Here is a 23,862-nt window from a genome sequence, read left to right on the forward strand (position 1 = left end):
GAATACATCTCCCATATAGTTTTATAAAGGTTTTTGAATGTATTTCCATTATCCAAAGAGTTCATTCATATCTTCTTGTGTTAGTCTGTTTGCCTTGTTATAAAGCAATGCTGAGGCTGGTTAATTTATAAAGAGGTTTATTTGGCTCACAGTTCTGTAGGCTGTACAAGAAGCATGGTGCCAACATCTGCTTCTGGTGAGCATTTCAGGAGGCTTCTGCTCATGGCGGAAGGGAAAGGGGAGCAGGTGTCACATGGTGAGAGAGAAAAAAGAGAAAGGCGAAGGGTGCCATGCTCTTTTAAATAACTAGTTCTTCCATGAATTAATAGAATGAGAACTCACTCATTACTGCAGGGAGGATACAAACCATTCATGAAGAATCAACCCCCATGACCCAGACACCTCCCACCAGGCCTCATCTCCAAAATTGGGGATGAAATTTCAACACGAGATTCAAAGGGGACAAATATCCAAACTATATCACTTCTCTTTATCAAAATCTAAAAATATAAATTGAACTAAAATTATACTTTACTGTTATCCATAGTTATGTTCCTTGCCACAATTCATAGGTAATTAAGTTATGACAATGTTAATGGTTTATAATTTTCGTGACTAGTTGAGAAAGCCGTTCTTTTTTTTTTTTTTTTTTGATACAGAGTTTTACTCTCTTACCCAGGCTGGAGTACAGTGGCACCATCTCGGCTCACTGCAACCTCAATCTCCCGGGTTCAAGCTATTCTCCTGCCTCAGCCTCCTGAGTAGCTGGGATTACAGGCGCATGCCACCATGCCCAGCTAATTTTTGTACTTTTAGTAGAGACAGGGTTTCACCATGTTTGCCAGGCTGGTCTCAAACTTCTGACCTCAGGTGATCTGCCTGCCTCAGCTTCCCAAAATTCTGGGATTACAGTCGTGAGCCACCGTGCCTAGCCTGAGAAAGCCTTTCATAGTGAAGCTTTGTTGTTAGGTAGATAAAAATTTATGAATATTTATCACTTGGTAGATTGCTCATTCTATGAATATGAAATATCCATCTTTCTTCCTTTTAAAATGCATTTTATACATAATTATATTTTATTTGAAATTATTACTGTTAAAAGCTTTTTCACCTGTACATTGCAGGGTATATCTTTACCAATTCTGTCGACTTTTTTCTCTGTTGTTTTTAAATTAGCTCTTTCAGAACATAGAAGACCAGATATTCAGTGTATGAATCTGTCTTTTAATAGTTAAATCTAACCATCCACAGTTTTTATCATCACTGATAGTTTCACACTTATTCCTGTCACATTTATTTCCAATTTACCATGCTCTCTTGTTACAAACCCCCTTATTAATTTTTGTTGAATTAATATTAGTTTAGTTTTTTCATGTATTGTATATTACACAATTCTTATATTCTAGTGCTGTCTAATTTCTAATACTTAAATATATATATTTTGTTCATCAGTGTCTAAAATTAATCAGCATGCATATATTACATTGTCTTTATTCTCAACAATCCCAGCTAGGATTTTTTGTTTTTAAATGTTCATTCTTCTCTCTTTTTATGTTCTTTTTCTTATCAATATCTTCCAGCCATGTTGAAATTCTTTGGACTTTACTTTCAAGCATTAATTTTAAAGCCGACATTTTAAGAAAGAGCTTACAATAAAATATCTTCCACTCCTTCCTCCTGGATTCATTTTTCTTCGGTTAGAACTATTTCTTTCTCCATTTCTTACTTCATAAGTCATCTTTAGAATCTATGTAAATATAAGACTACAAGCAGCCACTACCAATTGATTAGAAATGGTACTTAGGGTGGAATTTATCTTTAGTTTTTTATAGTTCAGAGATAACATTTCTAAAAGGCTAGGAAACATCTTAGAGTATCATCTTAATTATTGTATCTACCTTCTTTTTACCTGGATCAAGTGCATTAAGTATTGTCTGTGAATTTTTTCAACAACCCTATAAGAGAGATTTTATTATCTCACCATATAGATGTGAGATTCAAAAAGGTTGATTAACTTGATTTTTTTTATCAGTGCTTCTAATACTGGCTTCTTTGCTTTTGAAATGAGAAAAAAAAAGGTATACTGAGTTTTAGAGTTTTACAGTTACTCAGGTTAACACTTAAAATCTGTAGCTTGACACATTGGGTACTGAATATCCAGATTCAAAACTCTCTTTTATTTTGATTAGCATCCTTAAACTTCTATTTCTAAAGAAAGTCTTCACCTGGAGTTTCTAGAAGAGAACTCTTCTACCTTTTGCCACCTGTTCCAGCGCCCAGTGTGCAGGGAGTGTTAAAGTTGACAACTTATTGGCTCTTGAGATGCCATGTGATATTTCTTTTGGGGTAAAATTTTTCTGAAGTTGTCATCTACATAAGCCTTCTTTAGGCTTCTATATCTTATAAGCTATTATAGTCAAAGGAGAAACCAAGAGTTCTGAACTATAAGGAGTGAAATGCTCACAAATTCTCTTGTTAAACATGGTAACTACCTGGTAACAAGCTGAAAGAGAAAAACAGTGGAATGTGGTGGCCAGATATTCTGAACCAATGTCTTTCATCATTCTCAGAATGTTATGAAATTTAATAAGTGTTGATTCAATCCTTATTATTAGTAACCCAGCTAGTAATTCAATTTTTTTGGTAAGATGTACATCAACTAAAACATACTTGTAAGTGCCTTTTGGCTGTCAGTCATAGTGTGCCATGGGTGTGCATTAATTAAAATGAGATAGCAGGCTTGGGATGCTGACATGAAGAACCCTCTTCAATGGATCCTGACTAGGCACAGAGATGGTTGGGGCAGGGGAGGTGAATACTCAATGTATTGGAAACAGGACACAAATTATGTCTTATCTCCTGCTCCTCTAGTCAGGTGACCAGGAGGAACTGGCATTCCAGTAACTTCTCAATGCTTAGCTCTGGTGTTATAGGCCCTCCATAATGTATCCTTCGTCTCAACTCTGTACGTGTGATTTCCCACAGTATTCAAAGGTGGAAAGGCATCCTGTGACTGCATTGGAGAAAATGATGGAGTCAAGTTTTGTCGGCCCCCAGTCATTCCCTGAGGTCCCTTCTCCTGACAGAGGAAGCCAGTCTGTCAAACACCACAGGTACAAGTAGCTCATCATGGTGGGTGTGGGCACCTTCACACTGTGTGTATGCTGGGTGGCACATGCCAAGGACTGGCAGCATGACTTAGGAGAGACAACTGTTCTTGCTTCTCCTGTAGTTCTCTGTGGAGTAAATGCTCAAACACCTCACATCAGGTAAAGCAAAGATACCAGTTTCCACAGCAGACAGCATTGCCTCTGTAAGAAACCTGATAGAACTATAGATAACACCCATCAAAGTTACAGACCAGTAAAAAAAAAAAATGCATTCTGAAAAACTATTTTAAAAAATATGTTATCTAGCCTGCCTTTTCTAGATTACACAGTTAATGAGTAATTCTTCCCTATGCAGCCTAATGTGACAGACTTCAGGTTTTCCAATATGGTTCTTACAAAATAAAATTTTCCACGGGGAAGAAGCCTGGTGAATCTTCTTCTTGGGTCTATAAAATCTTCTGTTATAAATGAGGTGGCAGTTTCTTGCAAGCTTCCCAGAAATTGGCTGCTTTGGAGAAAAAGCCAAAAACATAGTTATTTGACACATTTCATAGCATTCTAAAGCTTAACTTGTCCTTCAGCATCTTCTAGTCCACACTTTTCTGTTATCAGGATTCTGAAACTCCAAATATTAAAGGTATTTGTTCTAAACCAAATGATGAAGTTTATGACTAATGCTAGATTGTGTTCAGATATACATCCTCAATCTTTATGGAAGTTGTCCGAAGACTTAAGCTTCCTTTTCTTAGTGAAATGTACAATATTTTACAATTTGAAAAAATTATGAAAAATTAAACATTTTAACAATGAAAAAGTAAATAACAGTTGTTCCCAGCAATGAAAGTTGAATGTTGTTGCCCCTTTGTTTTCACATGCTGGGCAATAGTTTGCACAACACCAAGCCAGAAACATACATGATAGAAGAAAACTACTTTCTCCTTCACCTTTTAATGAGTTACATGAAGAGGATTTTATTGTTTCTGGCCACACTTACTTTGAGATTTTTAGTCACTCTTGACACTAATCCTCAGCACTTCATGGTAATTTTTATTCTCATTCTACATGAGTAGAGACTAGAACACTGAGAGTTTGCCATTTAAAAGAATATGGTATGAGTCTATGTTCAATTCAGGATTGAAATATGTTTGGCTCTTGGATAATTGCTTTAGCTATTCTTACTGCAAGTTTTGATTTATATCAATGTTGCATTTACAGAATATTTTCCTGTGAAAAGAGCATTTCATTTCACTGGACCTAATGGAAGTTTTCTTAATTAGGGAAATAAGTCCAATATTACCAGTCTTTTCGAAGACAGATATTTTCTCCCAAATGGTATTTTCTCCTCCTGATTATGACACGTTAAAGTAGTATTCCACCTAGTCAAGTAATTCAGTATAATATCATTCTAGTATTATATGAACTGTATTCTGTCATAAATGTTTTAAAATTGATATATATGTTTTAAAACATCAGCTCTTAATATGTTTGAGCTGCAATATTCCTATCCCCAGTTCTCGTGTGCTTTTATGCTCCCTCCTAAACTTGGCTTCTCCTATGGTGTCTAGGAGTCACTCACAGATTAAATAAGGACATCTTTAAGAGACCTTCCTTTTTGTTTGGATCAATGACATTGCAGTATCTGTTGGCATACACTGTGTCCTGATAGATGGGCAAGCGTTGACTTACAAAATGCTTTTAGAACTTTGTAAATTATAGTTTAATATATCATAGCTTTTGTTTTGTAAAACATGCAATAGACTTGAACGTTTTCATGATCGATAACCCAGGCACTGATTTATATATCCTGCAAACTGCACCATAACTTCCTGAATGCCACTGAGTTAGAAGGCCTGAATAGCTGATTGATCAATAGGCATAAAACTCTTTTTAAGACAGGTCACTAGTTCATACTGATATACTTTGTTGTTATGACAGTTTAGCGAACTATGAATAATTAATTTCTTTTGTGCACTGCAAATATGACTCATTTGGATAACTCATATATGAAACAGAGCTATTAATTCAAAGCCATTATTTCTAATGTTTAGTTCGAAAAAATCCCATCTGTTTAGAAAATAAATCTATTACGGCATGTCATATTTATTGCATTATATTTTGGCAATATAAGTCACTTATCTTTTTTTATTATTTTATTTTTTTGGAGATAGAGTCTCGCTCTGTCACCCAGGCTGGAGTGCAGTGGTGTGATCTTGGCTCACTGCAACCTCCAGCTCCTGAGTTCAAGGGATTCTCTTGCCTCAGCCGTCTGAGTAGCTGGGACTACAGGCACATGCTACCATGCCGGGCTAATTTTTATATTTTTAGTAGAGACGGGGTTTCACCATGTTGGCCAGGCTGGTCTTGAAGTCCTGACCTCAGGTGATCCGCCCGCCTCAGCCTCCGAAAGTGCTGGGATTACAGGTGTGAGCCACTGTGCCCCACCATGCCACTTATAAAAAGCATGTATGTAGGTTTTTTGCATTGAAATAATTCCAGGGTTTTCAGTGACAGAGAGGACCCTTTGAATTGCCAGCTGTGGCAGGGGAGATAGAGGAACTCATCGTGCTGAGCACCTATTGTGTGCCAGGCTCCATGCCCCATGCTTTGCATACTTCCTCTCTTTAAACCTCCACATCCCATAGTGAACCTAGGAAAATTCTTAAGTAGAATGCTGATATCTTCCTTTTGTCACTCCCTTCTCACTCTAGCAGCTAGTTTCTACCTTTTTTGTTTTCTGCCTTGCCCTGTACACCAAGAGGGCTGCAGGCTCTTATGTCCTCTGGTTTCTGTGGGTTCAGTGTAAGGCACAGGCATGAGATAGACGGCAGGGAGGACAGTGAGGTCATGGCACTTGTGTCCCCTTCCTCCCTGCTTGGTTGCCTTCCTTATATCCCTTTTCTGGGGCCATGGAGCCTGCAGTGCGGCCCCCTCCTTACAACTCACTTTCTCTCTGCATTCTGGGAACTGCTCCCTCTCCTTGTCCCTTAAGTCAGAGGGATAATAACAGCTTCCCATAGTAGTCCTGGGGCACAGCAGTCTCATTTATTGCTTTTTTTGCCCTCGAACACTTATCACACTTTTGTATATAGCAAAATCTCTAACAATGAACCAGGTTAAAGTGCCATCTATGTCTCTCCAGGACTCTGACTGGTACAAGTACCTCCATCAGCATCATGCTTCCAGTAACTAGTTACCTGCAGACCTGAGACTTATACTCAGTTGCAGCCAACTCTAGCATCCAAGGCTTCAGGCCCCGCAGACCCCATCATTGCCATTGGATGGTAGATAAAAGTAGGAAGGCAAGGAAGCAAATTAGCTGTTAGAGAGCTTCTCCAACTTGTGGGCTTAGTGAGCTATCTAGACATCCCTTGTTAGGCATTTGGGGACACACCATATAATGAATGAAGGTATAGGGGCTAGGCACAGTGGCTCAAACCTGTAATCCCAGCACTTTGGGAGGCCTAGGTGGGTGGATCACCTGAGGTCAGGAGTTTGAGACCAGCCTGGCCAACATGGTGAAACCTCATCTCTACTAAAAATACAAAAATTAGCCTGCCATTGTGGGGGGCACCTGTAGTCCCAGCTACTTGGGAGGCTGGGGCAGGCGAATCACTTGAACCTGGGAGGTAGAGGTTGCAGTGAGCCAAGATCGTGCCACTGCACTTCAGCCTGGGTGACTCTGTCTCAAAAAAAAAAAAAAAAAAAGGAATGAAAGGAATGAAGGTATAACAATGAATGTTGCCAGATATGATCTCCTGCTTGCACACATTTAGGAAGTTAATGTTGGCTTGAGGAATATAAAGTTTGATCAGTCACCGTGCCACAACCAAGAAAGTGGTTACTAACACTCAAATACCAGATTTTCAAACTCTAACCTTAAATAATATTTGTAAAGTCCTGTTTTGTATTGACTAAGTAGAATTAACAGTAATATTTATGGAAGAAAAGTGACATAACCCCAAATAATATAGTAATATGGGTAAAATGTCTTTGAGAGACTGGTTTCTTTAGAACCTTGATAAATTTATTGAAATTTTGAGAATGTTTTCATCTTTCTTTCTATGGTTGTATTGATATTTACAGAGTTAAATGAGAATGGAGCACAGAATTCTCAGTTCCTTTATTATTTGAGCACTGCAGAACCAGTGTGACCACATAAACTAGCATCTCGTGGAATGTCTACACATGAGCAAAGTTCTCCTCACCAGTCTACAGTAGGGTCAATTCAGTGGGGTGGAGATGGGAATGGATATGGAACAGGTAATGAGTCTCATCAGCAATGGATTTTTATAGAGTCTAGTTCTTTTCTGTGCATAATCTATGTAGGAATTCTCAGTTTGTTAAGGCCTGTGGTATAACCCACTTACATGTTTTGCTCATTGATGGCATCTATAAACATATAGTTATTTAGGCATTTGGATGTATGAGTCAAATAAAATATATAATCAGATGTTTATTAAAAGCAAACTCAGAAGAAAAATAATTTAGTTTGTCAAGATTGATTAAAATCTGAGGTCGTGAACAGGGAATTTAACACATATGTTAATGAGAAAATGCCAATTAAAAGTTGTTAATTTTATCGCTAATAAGTGAATTTTTTCCCCATATCCCTTCTGGGCTTACTGTGTTCAGTTTTTGTCAGCGTCTCATAAGAAGGCTATTTTTATTTCTATTAGAGAGACAGCTATGATGGCTTGGATAATCAGGATGGATGGGAATGAGGAGCTTGAGAATTCCTTAAGTTCACCTCTTACCTTGGCTGGAAAGTTGCAATGATTTTCATCAGTCATGCTCTAACCTAGAAAGCCAGAAATCCAGGAACTTCCCTTTTTCTCAGTGTCTCCAAAGGTAAAATGGATTGGGCTATTCCTGATCTCATTCTACCACATATACTTCATTCAGGGATGGCCCTGGCCTAGAACTTTGAGAATTTGGGGTGCAGATTCAGTGTTTGCAAAGCTTGAGCAGCCACCTGTGAGGTTATTGCTATGATGTCTTTTGTTTGTTTGTTTGTCTGTTTTCATTCCACCCCAGCAGGAGTCTATCCTCTTGCTGCAGCCCAGGGCAAAGAAGTGGCATGCTCCATAGGAATGCCTTCAGAAGGACACCCCCGTCACCCCGAAGTAGGCTAGGTGGAATTGTGGGACCAGCATATCAGCAACTCGAAGAATCAAGGATCCCAGACCAGGATACGATACCTTGCCAAGGGTAGGTCTTAAAACAGCAGTGGAATTTAGGGAGGGTGTCTTTAATGCCATAGCTTTAAGTTAAGTTTTAAGTTCCTTGGGGTTTTATTCATTGATTTATTCATTAACTGGCTATATATGCTTACTGCCATCTTTGTTCTACAAAAGGTGAACCAACTTTGATGTATAGTTGTGATGGAAAATAGGTATCAGGGAAACATTAGATTAGAAAGAAATATAACTAGGAAGAAAGTAAGTGTAGCTCTCTAGGCAATATGTTATTAGATCATTTGCTAATACAACTGGAAATTTGTCTTTGATTTAAAAAATCAAAGGAGGATTAAAGTGTTCCTTCATCTGCAGATTAGAAAAAGGACCGAATTCTCTGATAAGTATTGTGAACAATACGCTAAACAATAACTCATGGCATACGTACAGTATCTGCTTCCCCTGAGCTTGAATGTAGAATTTGGGTCAATGTTGAGAGTGTAAAGTCAAAGTACAACTTACTGAACTCATATATGCAAGTTAGGGGTAGACGGGTGGGCTTTGGACACCATTGCTGCTACTCTTTACAGTGCAAAAGGTGTCCCTTCCTCTGGTGGACACAGATCCATAGAGGCCTCAAAGCATGGTGAGCTGAGTACAGGATGAATGTTAACCATTATCCATGTAGTTGGCATAAACTGCCCAACTAAACATGCGATCCTTGCTTAAACTGACTGGAATTCAAATCCCATCTCTGCTCCTTACTACTAGTGTGACTGTGATAATATTTTATGATGTGGTCTTAGATGCTCTTATCTATAAATTGAGAAAAATAGACCAGACGCACTGCCTCACACCCATAGTCCCAGCACTTTGGGAGGCTGAGGCATGCAGATCACTTGAGCTCAGGAGTTTGAGACCAGCCTGGGCAACATGGCAAAACCCCATCTCTAACAAAAATACAAAAAATTAGCTGGGCATGGTAGTGTGTGCCTGTGGTCCCAGCTGCTTGGGAGGCTGAGGTGGCAGGATCCTTTGAGCCTCAGAGGTGGAGGCTATACTGAGTGCACATGGTGCTACTGGACTCCAACCTGGGTGACAGAGTGAGACCCTATCTCAAAAAAGAAAAAAAAAAATACAAATAATTGAGTAAAATAATATCAACCCCCTGAAGATTGTTGGGCAGATTTTTAAAAATTATGTGTGTAAAGAGTTTGTAGTAGACACACAGTAAGCAGAGAAGTGGTACTGGTATTTATTGTCACAGTAATTGTTATAATTTTTTCAGCAATTTCAAGTGCAATGCAATCAGGGTTTACTCTAGAAATTTCAGAAATCACTTCCCTCACTCAAGCCAGGTTCTTGTGGCTCTGTTTTTATCTCTCTGAACGAGCCAAGCCAGGTTTCTATGCTGCTTTGGCCTGGATGATTTTTCCAGACTGTCTCTATCAGGCTAAAGATCAAAACGGGTTACGTCTAGCACAGAGCCTCACGTTTCTCTTTTCATATGGGCATGGGATATATGGAGCAGTGTCCTGTCTAACAAAGATCAGCAACAGATTTCTTAAGGAAAACTGGAAGATAGGAAATAAATGGCCGGTGGCTAGGTTTTATAATTTTGAAGCAATTCCAAATGGACTGTAAAAGGCATTTGGTACAGATTTAGGGTGACAGTTGCAAAGTAAACATAACAGCCAAGGGGTTCAAAATGTATAATGCGAGTCAAGAAGCAGTTTGCATTTCTCTTGGTCTTATCTGTGGAAAAGCAGGCTTGCATTTAACCCATAATTATAATTGATCATGTTTCATAGTGCCTTTTCCATATAAATAACTAATGATGCCTCTTATTAGTGAATATGACTATATACATATACATAAACTCCCTGGGATGAATGTTACAAGAACAAGTGAGGGAAAATCAACTTCAGAGATTTTGTGAGTGGACAAAAAACCCAGCTCATGCTGGCCTTTTTTTTCTATTGGGCACTGTTATGACCATCTTTCCATATGTTCGATTAGTAAGGGTGCTTGGAGCCTGTGCCAGGCTCAAGCTTGAACAATGCACATATCATCAGGGGCTCAGAGATCTCATTACATGTTCAGGCAATGCTTTGCTTTTTTAACCTCCTGGGAGACTCACTTATTTTCTGCGTGGTGGTGGTTTTGTTTTGGTTCAGTCACTGTTGGGTTGGAATATTCTCTCCAGTTGCCTGGCCACAGGTATTTTCCCATGTGTGATATCCACCAGATGTTGATAAATGGTGACTCTAAATATAAGTCACTGTATACCCAGCACAATGAATCTCAGGGAGCAATCTCATTCTCAGTTCTTAAAAACAGCCATTTTCCACTCCCTGGGGACTGACTGTCTCTCTGGACTGGAAATGGGATTCGTAATAGAATTTCACAGCTAAAGGCCGTCTTTAAATCTGGCCCCAGCCTGGAGGAGGGGGAAATGAATTTGCAAGAGCCATCAGCCATCTGCTCCTTGTTTACCAAGCAAGTGGGCGCTGTCTATGACAGTTAGGCTTCCAACGTATGTGGCTTCTTTCCTTGGCAAGAACTTCAGCCCAGCTTGAACCTAACATCGATCTTATTGTAGCCTGGGGAAGGAGTGAGGTGGAGAGGAGATTCTTGAGGAAACTTTGTCATGACTGGATCCCTGGTCAATGACAGCCATGGTAATGGCTCACAGAATTTGAACTGTATCATGTCAGGAAAATCAAGCTAATGTATTCATATGCCAGACAAAAAGAGATGGAATCACAAAAGTTAGATTCACACCTTAAAAGCAGATAAAATTCAAAATGTACTGAATACCTACCACACCTAGCTAGCAACTTTATATACTTCTCTTCAGTTATTCTTTAGAAATTTTATTGATAAGCACATTAAGGATATCAGAGTTTAAATGGCTAGCCCAAAGTGACATACACAGTCCTGTGTAAAAGAGCTGCGATTGAATACTGGCTTTTCTGACTAAATAAACCACTAAATCAACAAGGAATGTGAAGAAAAATCACATTTATGGCTGATGATTTGTAAACGGAATATCTAATTTTATGGCTTCAGAGGGAAGCGTGGATGCCTTCAAAATAGTCTGTTCATTCATTTTCATGTGCCCTAGGAACTGAGATGGTTTGGAGTCGCCTAGAGAAACACAAATTCCTTAGCCTGACTCATGAATGACTGGGAACCAAACCAAGTGACTAATAGTTGGAATCTTTCTTCTTTAAAAGAATGCTTCGACTCACATAGTTACAGACAAGATGCATTTGTAATTTCTTTGTTGAGGATGAGAGGAAGACTGGCCCAAAGTGAAATGATAAGCTCATGGACCGAACTTGTGGAAGCATCATTGGCCCTCAAGAGATACAGAACTTTGAATCCTCTGACTCAGAATCACATCTAGAAATTTAGCTCTCACTTAAACTTCTGCTGGAATACCAGTGGTGAGACACTCACATCATGTCTGGGGGGAAGTGAGGCTTGCCACTGTGTCTCTGGTAGAACAGGGCAGAGACATTATTTCAATTAGTCCTCAGAAAAATTTCCCCTCCCTCTGAGCAATCAAGTTAGTGTTACTACCTGATTGTTTTAATTGATGGCAAAATTAAAGTGAGGCTGCCATTTGTCTGAGATTCCAGAGCATATAGTAATTTTGGAACTTGAAATCATGTCTAATTCAAAACAAAATCACAGTTAGGAAAGTTCTCATTGTTTACAGCTCATCTTCATGTCATGGTAACATTTTAAATTTCAGTTGTTACCAGTCATGTGTTCAAAGCCTGACTTGGGAATTGACATCTAATAGTCCACTGCAATTCCTCTTTCTCATCTAAATCCTTTAGTCAGTCCTCTGGCATATGAGAAGAACCCTCAAAGTTTGGCGTGAATTGCCTTTGATTATGTCTTAGTCATGCCACATAGTTGACTTGTTGAATTTATATTCTCTAAGATATTTGCACCTTTTTCCAACTGTTTAGACCCAAGTGTAAGAATTTTTACCTGTCACCATCACATATCAACTTACCAGATTCTACCTGCTGGTATACCCTGATGATATTTGTGGGAAATGCTATCCTGGCTACATTTTTTGTCTCTGTTTCACTGGTGAACCTGACAGGCAGACTTTCTATATTTTCATACATACAAATCATGCTAACAAGATGGTGCTGAGAGCGAAACAAAAGCCTGAAATTTTTTCTTTACTTCTTGTTGAAATTGATTTATTGATTAGAACTTTTAGGCTCATATTTTTAGCTCATATATTTTAGGCTCATATTTCTCATATAACACTAATGAGAATGGAGTAATATTCCCCAAGAATTTCCAAATATGTAGCTGTGCAGTTTGTATGAATAAAGATTACATAACCCCAAAAAGCTTTTCTGGTTCCCCTTAGGATAGTCGTTCATTAGCAACCTCTAACATTGATAGTAATTAGAATAAGACAACTTGGGTTTAAATTCTCTGTGTGACACATACTAAAGATATAATTTTGGGAAAGTCATTTGAGTACCTCTTAGTCTATTTTACGCACCCATTAAATGATAATAATAAATAAACTACAAGGTTTTTTAAAAATAAAATGAGTTAATTGGAGTTGAAAGTGATTTTTACAAGCACTGTACAGATGTTAGCTGTTGTTATTAAGTCTGAAAATAGACATTAAGTAGGATATAAAGGGAGAGTTTACCTTGAAGATTTGTTTATGTATTCATGTGTTCACTCAGTTCAAGTGTATTGATTACAAACTCTGTATTAGGCACAGTAAGAGAGGATGAGCCTACAAAGGCCTAAATCTCTTCCCTGTTTGTGTTCACTGTCTGGTGGAAAGACCTCTAATTTGCTCCCATCATGTCCTTACAATAAAGATTTGTATTTAGTGTGCAACACACTGCATTGCAATTATTATCTACATGTATAAACATGATTTTCATTTACATAATAATGGCAGTCGAGGAAAGGAGATTTATTGTATGGAAGGTTGATATGTTTAAATTGTGTCAAAATTTGAATGTTTACTGTTTAAATTAGGGACAAATAACTAAGAAATAGAATAAAACACTACTGTTCAAGTTCCAAAACCCCATTTCTATAAATCTGCTGCGTACCTGTCCCATTTTCTGTCATGGAACAGCACAGAGGAGACAGATTTACTAGCCCTGCACAGGCAAGAAGGGAACTTAGAAGATTCTGCTATATTCAAATGACTTGTGATGGCATATTGGCATTCTTGACAAGCCCTTGCCATGGACCAAAGAACTACCTTACTTGGTTTCTTGGTTACTTGGTTGTAAGGAAAGATGCTAGATGGGTAGAAGCCCTGTGGAACCCACTTCATATTCATCCCCAGGCAGGTAGAGGAATTGTTAGCCTCCCATTCCCACCGGCTGGCTCAGCAATCTGGCAGTGAGGTGGTTCCTTTAGAGCACAGTGCCAGTGGAAATTGGATTTGGATCCCCTAAAATCAGTGTGAAGCAGAAAAACTCTTGATTGTAGTACCTGGATGCTTAATATTGGGCTTCTTGATTGGCTTCGACTAGGGTGGCCACAACAAGTCTACTGGACTAACCCAGGGCTGAGAGGGTGGTCGAGTTGATGGAGTGGACTAATGCCATTATGGGTGTCCTGTTTGTCACAATGGAAAGGCCACACTTACCTGCTCAATCCCCATTTACTTTGTATTCTAGGATAGAGGTCAGGAAGACTATATCCCACCTGCCTATACAGCTGTGGTGTGTTGAAAGACCCCTGGACTTAAAGTAAGAAGATCTGGGTTTGAGTCTCAGTCTGTCACTTATTTTCTGTGTGACCTTGGGCAAGTCACTTCACCTATCTGAGCTTCAGTTTACTTCTCTGTTTAACTGGGAACCTATTATCCGTCTCATGGGGTTGCTGTGAGAATTCAGTGAGATGGTGCATGTGAAAAGTGCTTTGTGGATTGAGTATTGCTCTAACAAAGCCTGGTAGAAAGCAGAAGGAGTAACACTGTGTTTCTTTTTCAGGTATTCATCCAGTGGTTTAAAAACCCAACGAAATACATCAATAAATATGCAACTGCCTTCAAGAGAGACAAACCCCTATTTTAATAGCTTGGAGCAAAAGGACCTGGTGGGCTATTCATCCACAAGGGCCAGTTCTGTGCCCATCATCCCTTCAGTGGGTTTAGAGGAAACCTGCCTGCAAATGCCAGGGATTTCTGAAGTCAAAAGCATCAAATGGTGCAAAAACTCCTATTCAGCTGACGTTGTCAATGTGAGTATTCCAGTCAGCGATTGTCTTATAGCAGAACAACAAGAAGTGAAAATATTGCTAGAAACTGTCCAGGAGCAGATCCGAATTCTGACTGATGCCAGACGGTCAGAAGACTACGAACTGGCCAGCGTAGAAACCGAGGACAGTGCAAGCGAAAACACAGCCTTTCTCCCCCTGAGTCCCACAGCCAAATCAGAACGAGAGGCGCAATTTGTCTTAAGAAATGAAATACAAAGAGACTCTGCATTGACCAAGTGACTTGAGATGTAGGAATCTGTGCATTCTATGCTTTGCTCAACAGGAAAGAGAGGAAATCAAATACAAATTATTTATATGCATTAATTTAAGAGCATCTACTTAGAAGAAACCAAATAGTCTATCGCCCTCATATCATAGTGTTTTTTAACAAAATATTTTTTTAAGGGAAAGAAATGTTTCAGGAGGGATAAAGCTTACCATTAAAGCTTTTGGGTAGAATTCTGAATCCAATTTCGTTTAGTCCCAACACTGTCCTCTTTGGCTCTTAGAAGATGTGGGCAATTCAGACCCTTGGCCCCACAGTGCCAGTGTCTCATTAAAAAACACTGGCAGTTACCTGGTTTCAAAAAGAGGAGAGCTGCATCCCGCAGGTGGATGCACCAGTGAGCAGGTGGCTCTTGCCATTTGGCTTGCCAGTCCCAAGCCCTAAATTTCTATTCACCCAATAGCCTCATCACAGGTTATGTCATGTCGACACATGTAGTGTTTTCTATTTGATTTTTGGAGAATGCCACAAAAGACTCTGCAATGGGAAGGAGGACAGGAGATAGAAGGAGAAACCGGGGGCAATCTTAACTACTCTTGTGTGCCACCTTCCTCTGAGATTTGAATGCACAGATCTCAGCTGGAGGTATGAAATTATTACAGAAAAAGAGACAAAAAAATCCTTATATCGTGTCACTAAAATCATGCTAATAGAAATGTTTTTCCTTGAGATTGTTTAGAGGCTCTGGAGGAGCGTTTCTCAGTTTTTGTGTGCCTGTGTGCACATGTGTGTGCGAGCGTGTGTGTGTGTGGACTTGCTCACGCGGGCACATATGCTGTAAGCACATGTGTTCATTGTGCGTATGTGTGTGCATGTGTGCGCGTATTACGCTTGCTAAAATTTGTTCTGAAACATCAGGGAATCTACTATTCAGAAAAATTATTTCCCTCTTAGATCTTTTCACTTTAAATTTTTCCATTAAGTATAAAGTTCAGTTAGTTCTTAAATCAAGGTCACTTGCATGGTGGGGTCGTATAAAACTCTTGACACTGTCTAGACCATTTTCTGATGTGAATACTTTTGAGAGGATCAACTATTGGCTCATTAATGATATCAGTATCATAAGGTGAGTTCATCAAGGATGTGTGTTTATTTTGAATCATGCCTACTTAAATTATTAATACAAGACAATTAACAAATTGACAGTTACCATTTGCTTTCTCATCATCCTCATTACCATTTATTTTATAGCAAGTCTGCTATGTGTGGACCAAGGCTTCGGCTTCTGTGGTTAGTATGGGAAGAATAAATTGTTGAAATAAAAATACCCAGACTATTCAGTTCACAAGAAGCCCCCCAAAAGAACAGTAAATTGTGTTGTATGTTCATTTGGAATAAAGCAATATTTTTACCACTGCTAAGGTGAACTGAAACCTCTCCTGAAGATTTGTCTGTTTATTTACCCTCACTTTCATGGGACATATGAGGAAATTAGTGTTCACATATCCAGTCTTTTTCCAATTATTGGTGGTGTTGAGTTGTTATGTTTACACTGTTTTAAATAAAAAGGCACCGTATTTGAAAGCATAAAAGATTTCTTTTACTGCAGTTTTGGAAAACCTTGGTTAAAATCTCTTTGTGGAAGACACATTCCATGGAGAAGGAATGTAACTATTTCTGAGTCAAGCAGTAAATATATACAATTCTTATTTCAGGTTAAGTTGTTTCTGTTGAAAATACATTGCAAATTGCTCCTTGGGAACATGAGTTATTAGTAGACATATTGTCATCCAGAAAAAAGAAAGAGCACTATGTATTTATCAGAACTACTTAATAGAAATTCAAAGTCTCAGATGTTGAAACACTTTGGTAAAAATGCATTTTACATTTAACAAAAGGTTGTGTGATGATATTTATTATTTGTTCTGTTACAGTTCCATCGTTTTGAATATGGAGGTAATATTGGTAGAATTTCAAAAGATTATTATAAATTTGTAATGTCTAGATCATCTAAGTTCTCATTTAAAAATATTATATCTGTGGGAACATTTTAGAAAATGGTCTTAAAAACTAACAGATCTATAAAAACCCGACAAGTTGAGCATCCAATATGTCATTGTGTTGAAATTTATCACAATTATATCAAACACCTGGAAGGCCTCACAACTTTGTTGAAGTCAACCTTGTTCTTGTTTTTTTTTTTTTTTTTTTTTTTTTAACTAAAATGTTATACTTGCTTATCTGGAAGACTGGTTCTGAATTTACCATTAAGAAGTTATATGCTGTGTGACTCACTGCAGTTATTCTAACATATTGTCTACAGTGAAAACATTAAGATTGTCAATGAAACTTATGTCTTGGTCCAACCCCTTTTAAAAAATATGAAAAACTGTGTTATGTGATTATAACCCCACCCCCCATGTATTCTAAAAAAGCATTAATAATCTGGCAAATCCACTGGCAATCTGATATAAAGTTTAGAGATACAATTACTCCCTTAATTAGTAGTCAAGATAAAACCCTCCATAAGTAATCTATATTAATGGTTAGTTTTTAGTGGTCATTTGTCTCCTTTAGGAATGTGATGCTTTCCTATGAAAAGTATTCAAGCTCAAAATTTACATCATTGGGTACCAGCTGACAAGTGCTGATGGCATCAGTACTTTCAAAGGGAATCTAACATAGAAAACACCTGGAGCCATCAGTACTTGATCCTTCAAGCTCATGCGCTTATTTCAACAAAACACATTTGATTTTGTTTCATTTTCCTTGTCTTTATTATGCGAATATATATTTGGAAATTTGTAATTAAATACACTCCATATTCATTATTTACTGGAGAATGGATGGTACCTGCCATTTTTTTTACTTTGACTCATTTTCTGATATGCCTTTTTGTTTTGTAAAGCATATGTTATTCTAATTTGCCTGTGACTACTGTGGGATGCCATTCAAAATATGTGAGCAATCTTATAATGACGAGAAATAGTAGAAATGATTTTGGAAAATTAGCATCAAAATTTTACTCCTAAATTTCCTATGTATATTAAATGCTCTGTGTTTTACACTCTAGCCCAATATCTCCCTTGCTATGGGTTAAAAACTAAATATTTGTAAATTTATCACACCTCCAATGATTTACATCATTTCTAAGTAGCAATAGCAAAGTTGTCTAGAGGAGGAAGAGTGTTGTATATAGGACTTCACAAGTTAACCTGTATTGATCATATTAATAAATCAGACCTACTAAAAAAGAGAACAGAAGAGCCAAGCAGACTTCAAGAGAGTGCCCATTGGCTTCTGGATTGAATGACAGCTACAATTTGAGTGAGGCCTCGGGTGCCCATGGCTAAGGCTATCGGTAACCAGATCTCTACCAGAATATGTCTGATGGATGCCACAGTCATGCACACCAATCCTGCAGTATGGTGCTATAGGGAGCACTGACTTCGTAAGTCTGTGTGTTGGGGCAGAGGGAATAGCGGTCCCTTTGATTCCAGCCCCATAAACCAGAAAATACTGCACTGAAACAAGGGCTGTGAAACATTCCTCAAATAAGTATACAGCCAACCTAGGAACGCAGTAGGAGGGGTGGGATTTTTATTTGATCTTTTGGTATCTGGGAGACATTTTATATATAAAGAATAAAAAAGTATTATTATTCAAATGTATAGATTCGATGTTTTCAATGGATAGCATGTCTATACTGTGTTTGTACTCTTGTCTTCAGAAATTCAGTCCTCATCTAGGCAAAACCAGCACAAGGTTTCAAGGCTGTTCTCAGTTTTAAATGCATCCCAATATGCCCCGGGAAATGAAGCCTTTAAATAAGCTTTATCTCTTCCTAGTTTAATATTTCTTTCCCTTTTAAAGAAATAGTGAGGGTAAAAGATGAAATTCACTCCTTTAGAGCCACAATATTCTCTTATAATCTGTTTCCTACTGTAACCACACATACACGCGCGCACACACACACACACACACACATATAAATTTATATTAAATTCATGAGTTGAATATCTTAGTACTTTTACTTCTGTTTAATTTGACAAACATCAAAGTGATTGCCTCATGGAATGCCAATGAAATCAAAGCACTTAGAGACAAGCCAACTTGGCAACATTTTGATCATATAGGCATTTTTCAGTTCCTTCTCTTTTTTATACAAGCAGAAATAATCTTGGGTTAGAAAATTCACAAGATCCTAGAATAACATCTCTGCTAGATTATCTCTTAGAAATGAACATCTAAAATGAGTGTAAATGATTGTTGTCTTTGTAGTGTATAATGTTCTCAAGTATATTTTTTTATAAATTTAAACATAGCTTCTCCCAGAGGTGCCTAAACAGGTGCCTTTGCTTCTGGTACCCATTAAACTTCAATAAGGACAGTGTGTGTGTGTTGCGGGGAAAGGGGATACTGAGGGCTAATGTTGCATACTCCGGTGAAGATAATAGCAGGTGTAACCAGATGTAATCTTAATAAAATAGAGAACAGCTTTCTAGTACTTTCATAATTTTTTGTCATGAATACCTATATTGATTGCACGTGTACTGTTGACTATGAAAGAATTAATTGTGTGATAGCAAACAATCTCTCATTGTTGGAAATGAATTAGAAAATATTTTCTATTGAAAGTTGTCTTTGTGAAAACTTATACCTTATCTACACATAACACTAGTTTCATGACCTCACCGTCAAATAAGGTGGATAACCATTTATCTCTGATTTCTCTTCCAAATTGCTGGCTTGTTTTCCAGTCCTTCTAACCCAGTCTTTATCTGGTCACCTGTCATTCTTTCACTTGAACACAAGTCTTTACAAAATTGATGGCTGTACGTCTATCTCACTAAGGCTCAAAAATAGTTAGAACCTGTGTATCTATCAGTGGATAATATTTACATTTATAATATCACATTTAATTTCCATAGAGAAAAATACAGGATTGTTTTTGTGGTTGTTGTTAATGTAAATTTACCTCAGACAGGTAATAAAAAAAAGGGATGGACAAGAAAATACCCAATTCCAAAGCTTGAAAAGAAAGGCCAAAATTTGCCCCAGAATTTTTTAAGAAAATGTGATGAATTATCAAAGACAGAACAAGGGGTTCTCTAGAGAAGGCATGAGACCTTGAAGAGGTCCTTCTCTTACAGAGGCAGTGGACACACCCTCATTGGATATTCATAAATACAAGATACTTATTGATATTCTCAATTATTTGCATGTCAAACTTAATATAAACTCTCCTACCAATACTGAATAAATTATCTGGAAATACTTTCACATCATGGTTTAAAATAATCCTATCTCTGGGAGCAGGATAGACAAAAACAATGCAGGGTTTACTTGCATATTTACTTTTGATTGTAATTGCTGTTTTTGACAAATTAATATTTATATGCTCTTTCAGTAGCATCCTGACTAGCACTAATTATTCCATATATAATGTGTCTTGGTCAAGATCCCAAAGTCTGAATTCCTTAGCCTTCAATAAAACAATATGAAATGTTAAAATACTTGACCCAAAGACAGTAAATTGAAGTTAATTTTTTTTAAATTATAAGAAGTCAATGTAGTATTTTACCAAATTGATTTAGAAAAAAAATGCAGTTTTTACTTGTTTTTGATGTATTTAGAGGTCTGATGAACCCTTCATACAACCTTGTTATACACCAGACTGGTGCTTTCCTGTCTGAAATAAATTTAAATTTAAGGGCTCTACAAATCACACACACACAGGGCATACAGCACACATGGTGTGTTGAAACTCGATGACATAGATGACCTTGGATTCAGATATTTTTCATAGAAAGTCTACGCATGCAGCAAGAAAGTATAGTGGTTACTGTTGAAGGCTTATTCTTCACAGCCTGCTTTTGATTCTTGTCTTTATTAATAAAAGTCTGGAAGATAGATAACACATTTATTGAAACTGATACAAATACAACATGACAACTCACCTTAAACATTACTACACACTTGCCAGTGGCCACTGTGTATATTTTAAGAGAGCTAGAGAGAAATGCTGTGGCTGTCTCTCTCTTTTTGTTTTTTTGTTTTGGTTTTTTTTTTGAGACGGAGTCTCGCTCTGTCGCCCAGGCTGGAGTGCAGCGGCGCCATCTCGGCTCACTGCAAGCTCTGCCTCCTGGGTTCACGCCATTCTCCTGCCTCAACCTCCCGAGTAGCTGGGATGCTGTGGCTCTCTCTTATTTTTTAAGCATGCAATTGTACACACTAAATCAAAATGAGTTCCATAGTTCTTCATCATTAACAGATTTTATTAATCCATTTGGCCATGTTTTAAATAAGGAATGTAAATCACACACAGAATACATGAAAAATGGTAACCAGAATATTTCCAATTGTCATTTTAAAAACAATTTCTAGGAAACAATATCTCACGCCTGTGATAACAAATTTGTTTAAAAGAGTGTACACGTAGCTCTATTTTCTTCCAACAACCATTTCAAAATGGCGTCTCCTGCACTGAGAGGATATGAAGGCTATGGAAAATATGCTGGACTTATGGCCCTCAACAACTTTGTAGCGTTTACTTCTACTATGGCTGCATTTTGTTTGTGGGGAGATATATCATACTCCTTATTAAAAATTAAGATGTGAATGTAATCATCGATTTGCATGTTGACTTTGTCAAGTAAGCTTTTATCTGTGGAGGGAATCCTTGGCCACCATTTCCCAATTTTATCTCCTCAATAGCCTTTGCCAAAGCTGGACGGTCAGCTTAGGTTGTATTCTTACTGCATTCACCTCTTATCTCATTTCCTCTTTATTAAACAGGGAACTTTCAGCTAAAATAAGAAGCTAATGTGATTTTGTAGAGAAAGATAGCTTTGTTCATTTGAGTTGTGTTAGTAGAGGGATAAATTAGGAACATTTCAAATGTAGATGATAATAAGGTTCATGACTTTAGCCACTATCTTCTCATATACAGACATAACCCTAGGGCCCGTAAATTTTCCTTATGTTGCAAACAGACTTTTTAACCTTCTTAGAATTGTTTCCTACAACAATATTTTTCATTTTATAAGAGAAAGACACAATCATCCATTTATGTAAAAGAAAAAACCAATAAATTAAAACCACATACTCATTATTTAAACAATGAATAAAAAACCAATAACCATGTGTGTAAGGGCTTCAAATTAAACATTAAAAATTAAATATAGTCTAAGGCTAAAACTATTGTAAGGAAATATGAGGCAAATGTTTTGCACAATAAAATCTGTTTTTTAAAAATATCTCTTCCCTGTAACTACACTCTTCTTTCTATATGGATATTTTATTTTTTAAAGAATTGTCTACTGGGCATTAAGTATGCATGTTGAGCTCTAACATTTAAATATACTAAATGTCCACTTTTTCATACCTTCAAATTTAACACAAAATTTATGAAAATCTCAGTTTAAGTTGGAAAAAAAATACAAATCTGTAAAAAGAAATCATTAACTTTTATCCTGTCCTTATTTTCTCACTGACAACTTTCACTGAAGGCTCCCATCTTTTAAGCTAAACATAGGAGCAGGTCTGAATCAAATATAAGGGCAGATGTAAATATATTTTGAAAATTAAAATGTGTAACACAGACACAAGTAGTTGCAATTTTTCTTGGGTCCGAATGACCTAAATAGCTGAAAAGCATGCAACAAAGTTTGAGAAACATGGGGCATCCCTTTGTCAAAAAAAAAAAAAAAAAAAAAAAAAAAAAAAAGAAGGTTATCCAGCAGATTTCAGCTGAAAAGAAAGATGAAATGAATAAGCACTACTGTGAGCCCTTTCTCCAGGCAAAAAGAAGAGACAGGAACCTGACTGTATAAACATTTCCATAATACATAAAGTCAATTAAAGATTTTCTTTTCACCCTTTTTAAATCTTATTTAAGAATTGTCACTGAAAGTGTGAAAAAAGTCAACCATTAATTCACCATGCTAAAATCATAGTAACTTGTATCTTTGTATATTTTTTCTCATTTTCCACATATAGGCATATTTTTACAAAATTACTTTCCCACTGTGTTGTATTATAATTTAAAACATTATATATCATATTGTCCTATGGCGATACATTGTCTTTATAAACATTTTATTTAAAGACTGCATAAATTCTGGTTTGCTTTTATATTATGACTTATGTAGACATTCTATTATTATTTGACACAAATTCACCCAATTTATTTACTACCATAACTAACCCCACAATTAATACTACAACACACATTACTTTTTTTCTGGAAAGAAACTGCAGATCTATAAACACATTTCATAAGATCTGTAAAGACCTGAAATTGTAATTCTTGTGAATAGGTTAGTGAATGCATTTTCTTTTTTGTGAAGTGGAAAGGTCTATAACTAAAAATTACATAATGTTTAGAAAAAATAGGTGAGCCTCAATGGTTAAGATTATTTTCTTTAAGTAATTTCCTGGTCATACTTTGTAAGAAGTGGTACAGCTGCGTCAAAAAGTATGACCATTTTGGAAATTCATTTTAGATATTACTCAACTGTTTTCTGGAAGTGGCTAATATATACAGTTTTAACATTCATCGAGCCTTTTGTTTATTTTGTATTTGCTTAACAATATAACAAATTGTGGTTAAAACATAATTGATTTGGAATAGTCAGAAATGCATTACTTTAATAAAGCTTAATTTTATTTTTAATTAAAAATATTACATGTTTACACATAAGATATATGAGAAGAAACGTTTTAGAATGACCAAAATACAATCGCCATTAATATTTGAGCACACTCCCTTCCAATATTTTTTATGGAATGTATACTTACTATGTGTCTCTTACAAAATTGGAGTCATCTAGTATTTAAAATATTTTATCCCACTTTATTAACTTTACGTACAGTCTGGTAATTTTCTTCACTAGTAAAGTATCTTTATACATATGCTTAATGGCTATACAAGCCATTATATGCGTACATTAAATGCATAAGCACATTCATATTTCAAAGTGTTCTCTAAACATTGATCCTATAATATATTATTAAACTGATTTTAAATGTTTACTACCTTTGACTTACATCAGTATTTAATAATATATGT

The 23,862-nt window shown here is 36.9% G+C and overlaps 1 protein-coding gene across 26 annotated transcripts in view; it reads left to right on the top strand.

Annotated features, from left to right (window-relative positions):
• The window catches only part of NRG3 (neuregulin 3), a 1,111,986-nt gene extending 1,095,609 nt beyond the window's left edge, over window positions 1-16,377 (top strand). For 6 of the 26 annotated variants that reach the window (XM_017015573.3, XM_017015575.3, XM_011539172.4 and 3 more), the window contains 4 exons: window positions 2,986-3,113; window positions 8,145-8,318; window positions 13,981-14,052; window positions 14,296-16,377. In XM_017015573.3, coding sequence (XP_016871062.1) covers window positions 2,986-3,113; window positions 8,145-8,318; window positions 13,981-14,052; window positions 14,296-14,803 — 882 coding nt within the window. In that variant the 3' untranslated portion in view covers window positions 14,804-16,377. Of the gene's footprint in view, window positions 1-2,985; window positions 3,114-7,193; window positions 7,371-8,144; window positions 8,319-13,980; window positions 14,053-14,295 lie in introns of those variants that run through there. The other 20 variants (XM_017015574.3, XM_017015576.3, XM_047424512.1 and 17 more) reach the window with 7 other exon arrangements.

The sequence above is a fragment of the Homo sapiens genome, chromosome 10, assembly GCF_000001405.40.
Source record: "Homo sapiens chromosome 10, GRCh38.p14 Primary Assembly".
Taxonomy (NCBI): domain Eukaryota; kingdom Metazoa; phylum Chordata; class Mammalia; order Primates; family Hominidae; genus Homo; species Homo sapiens.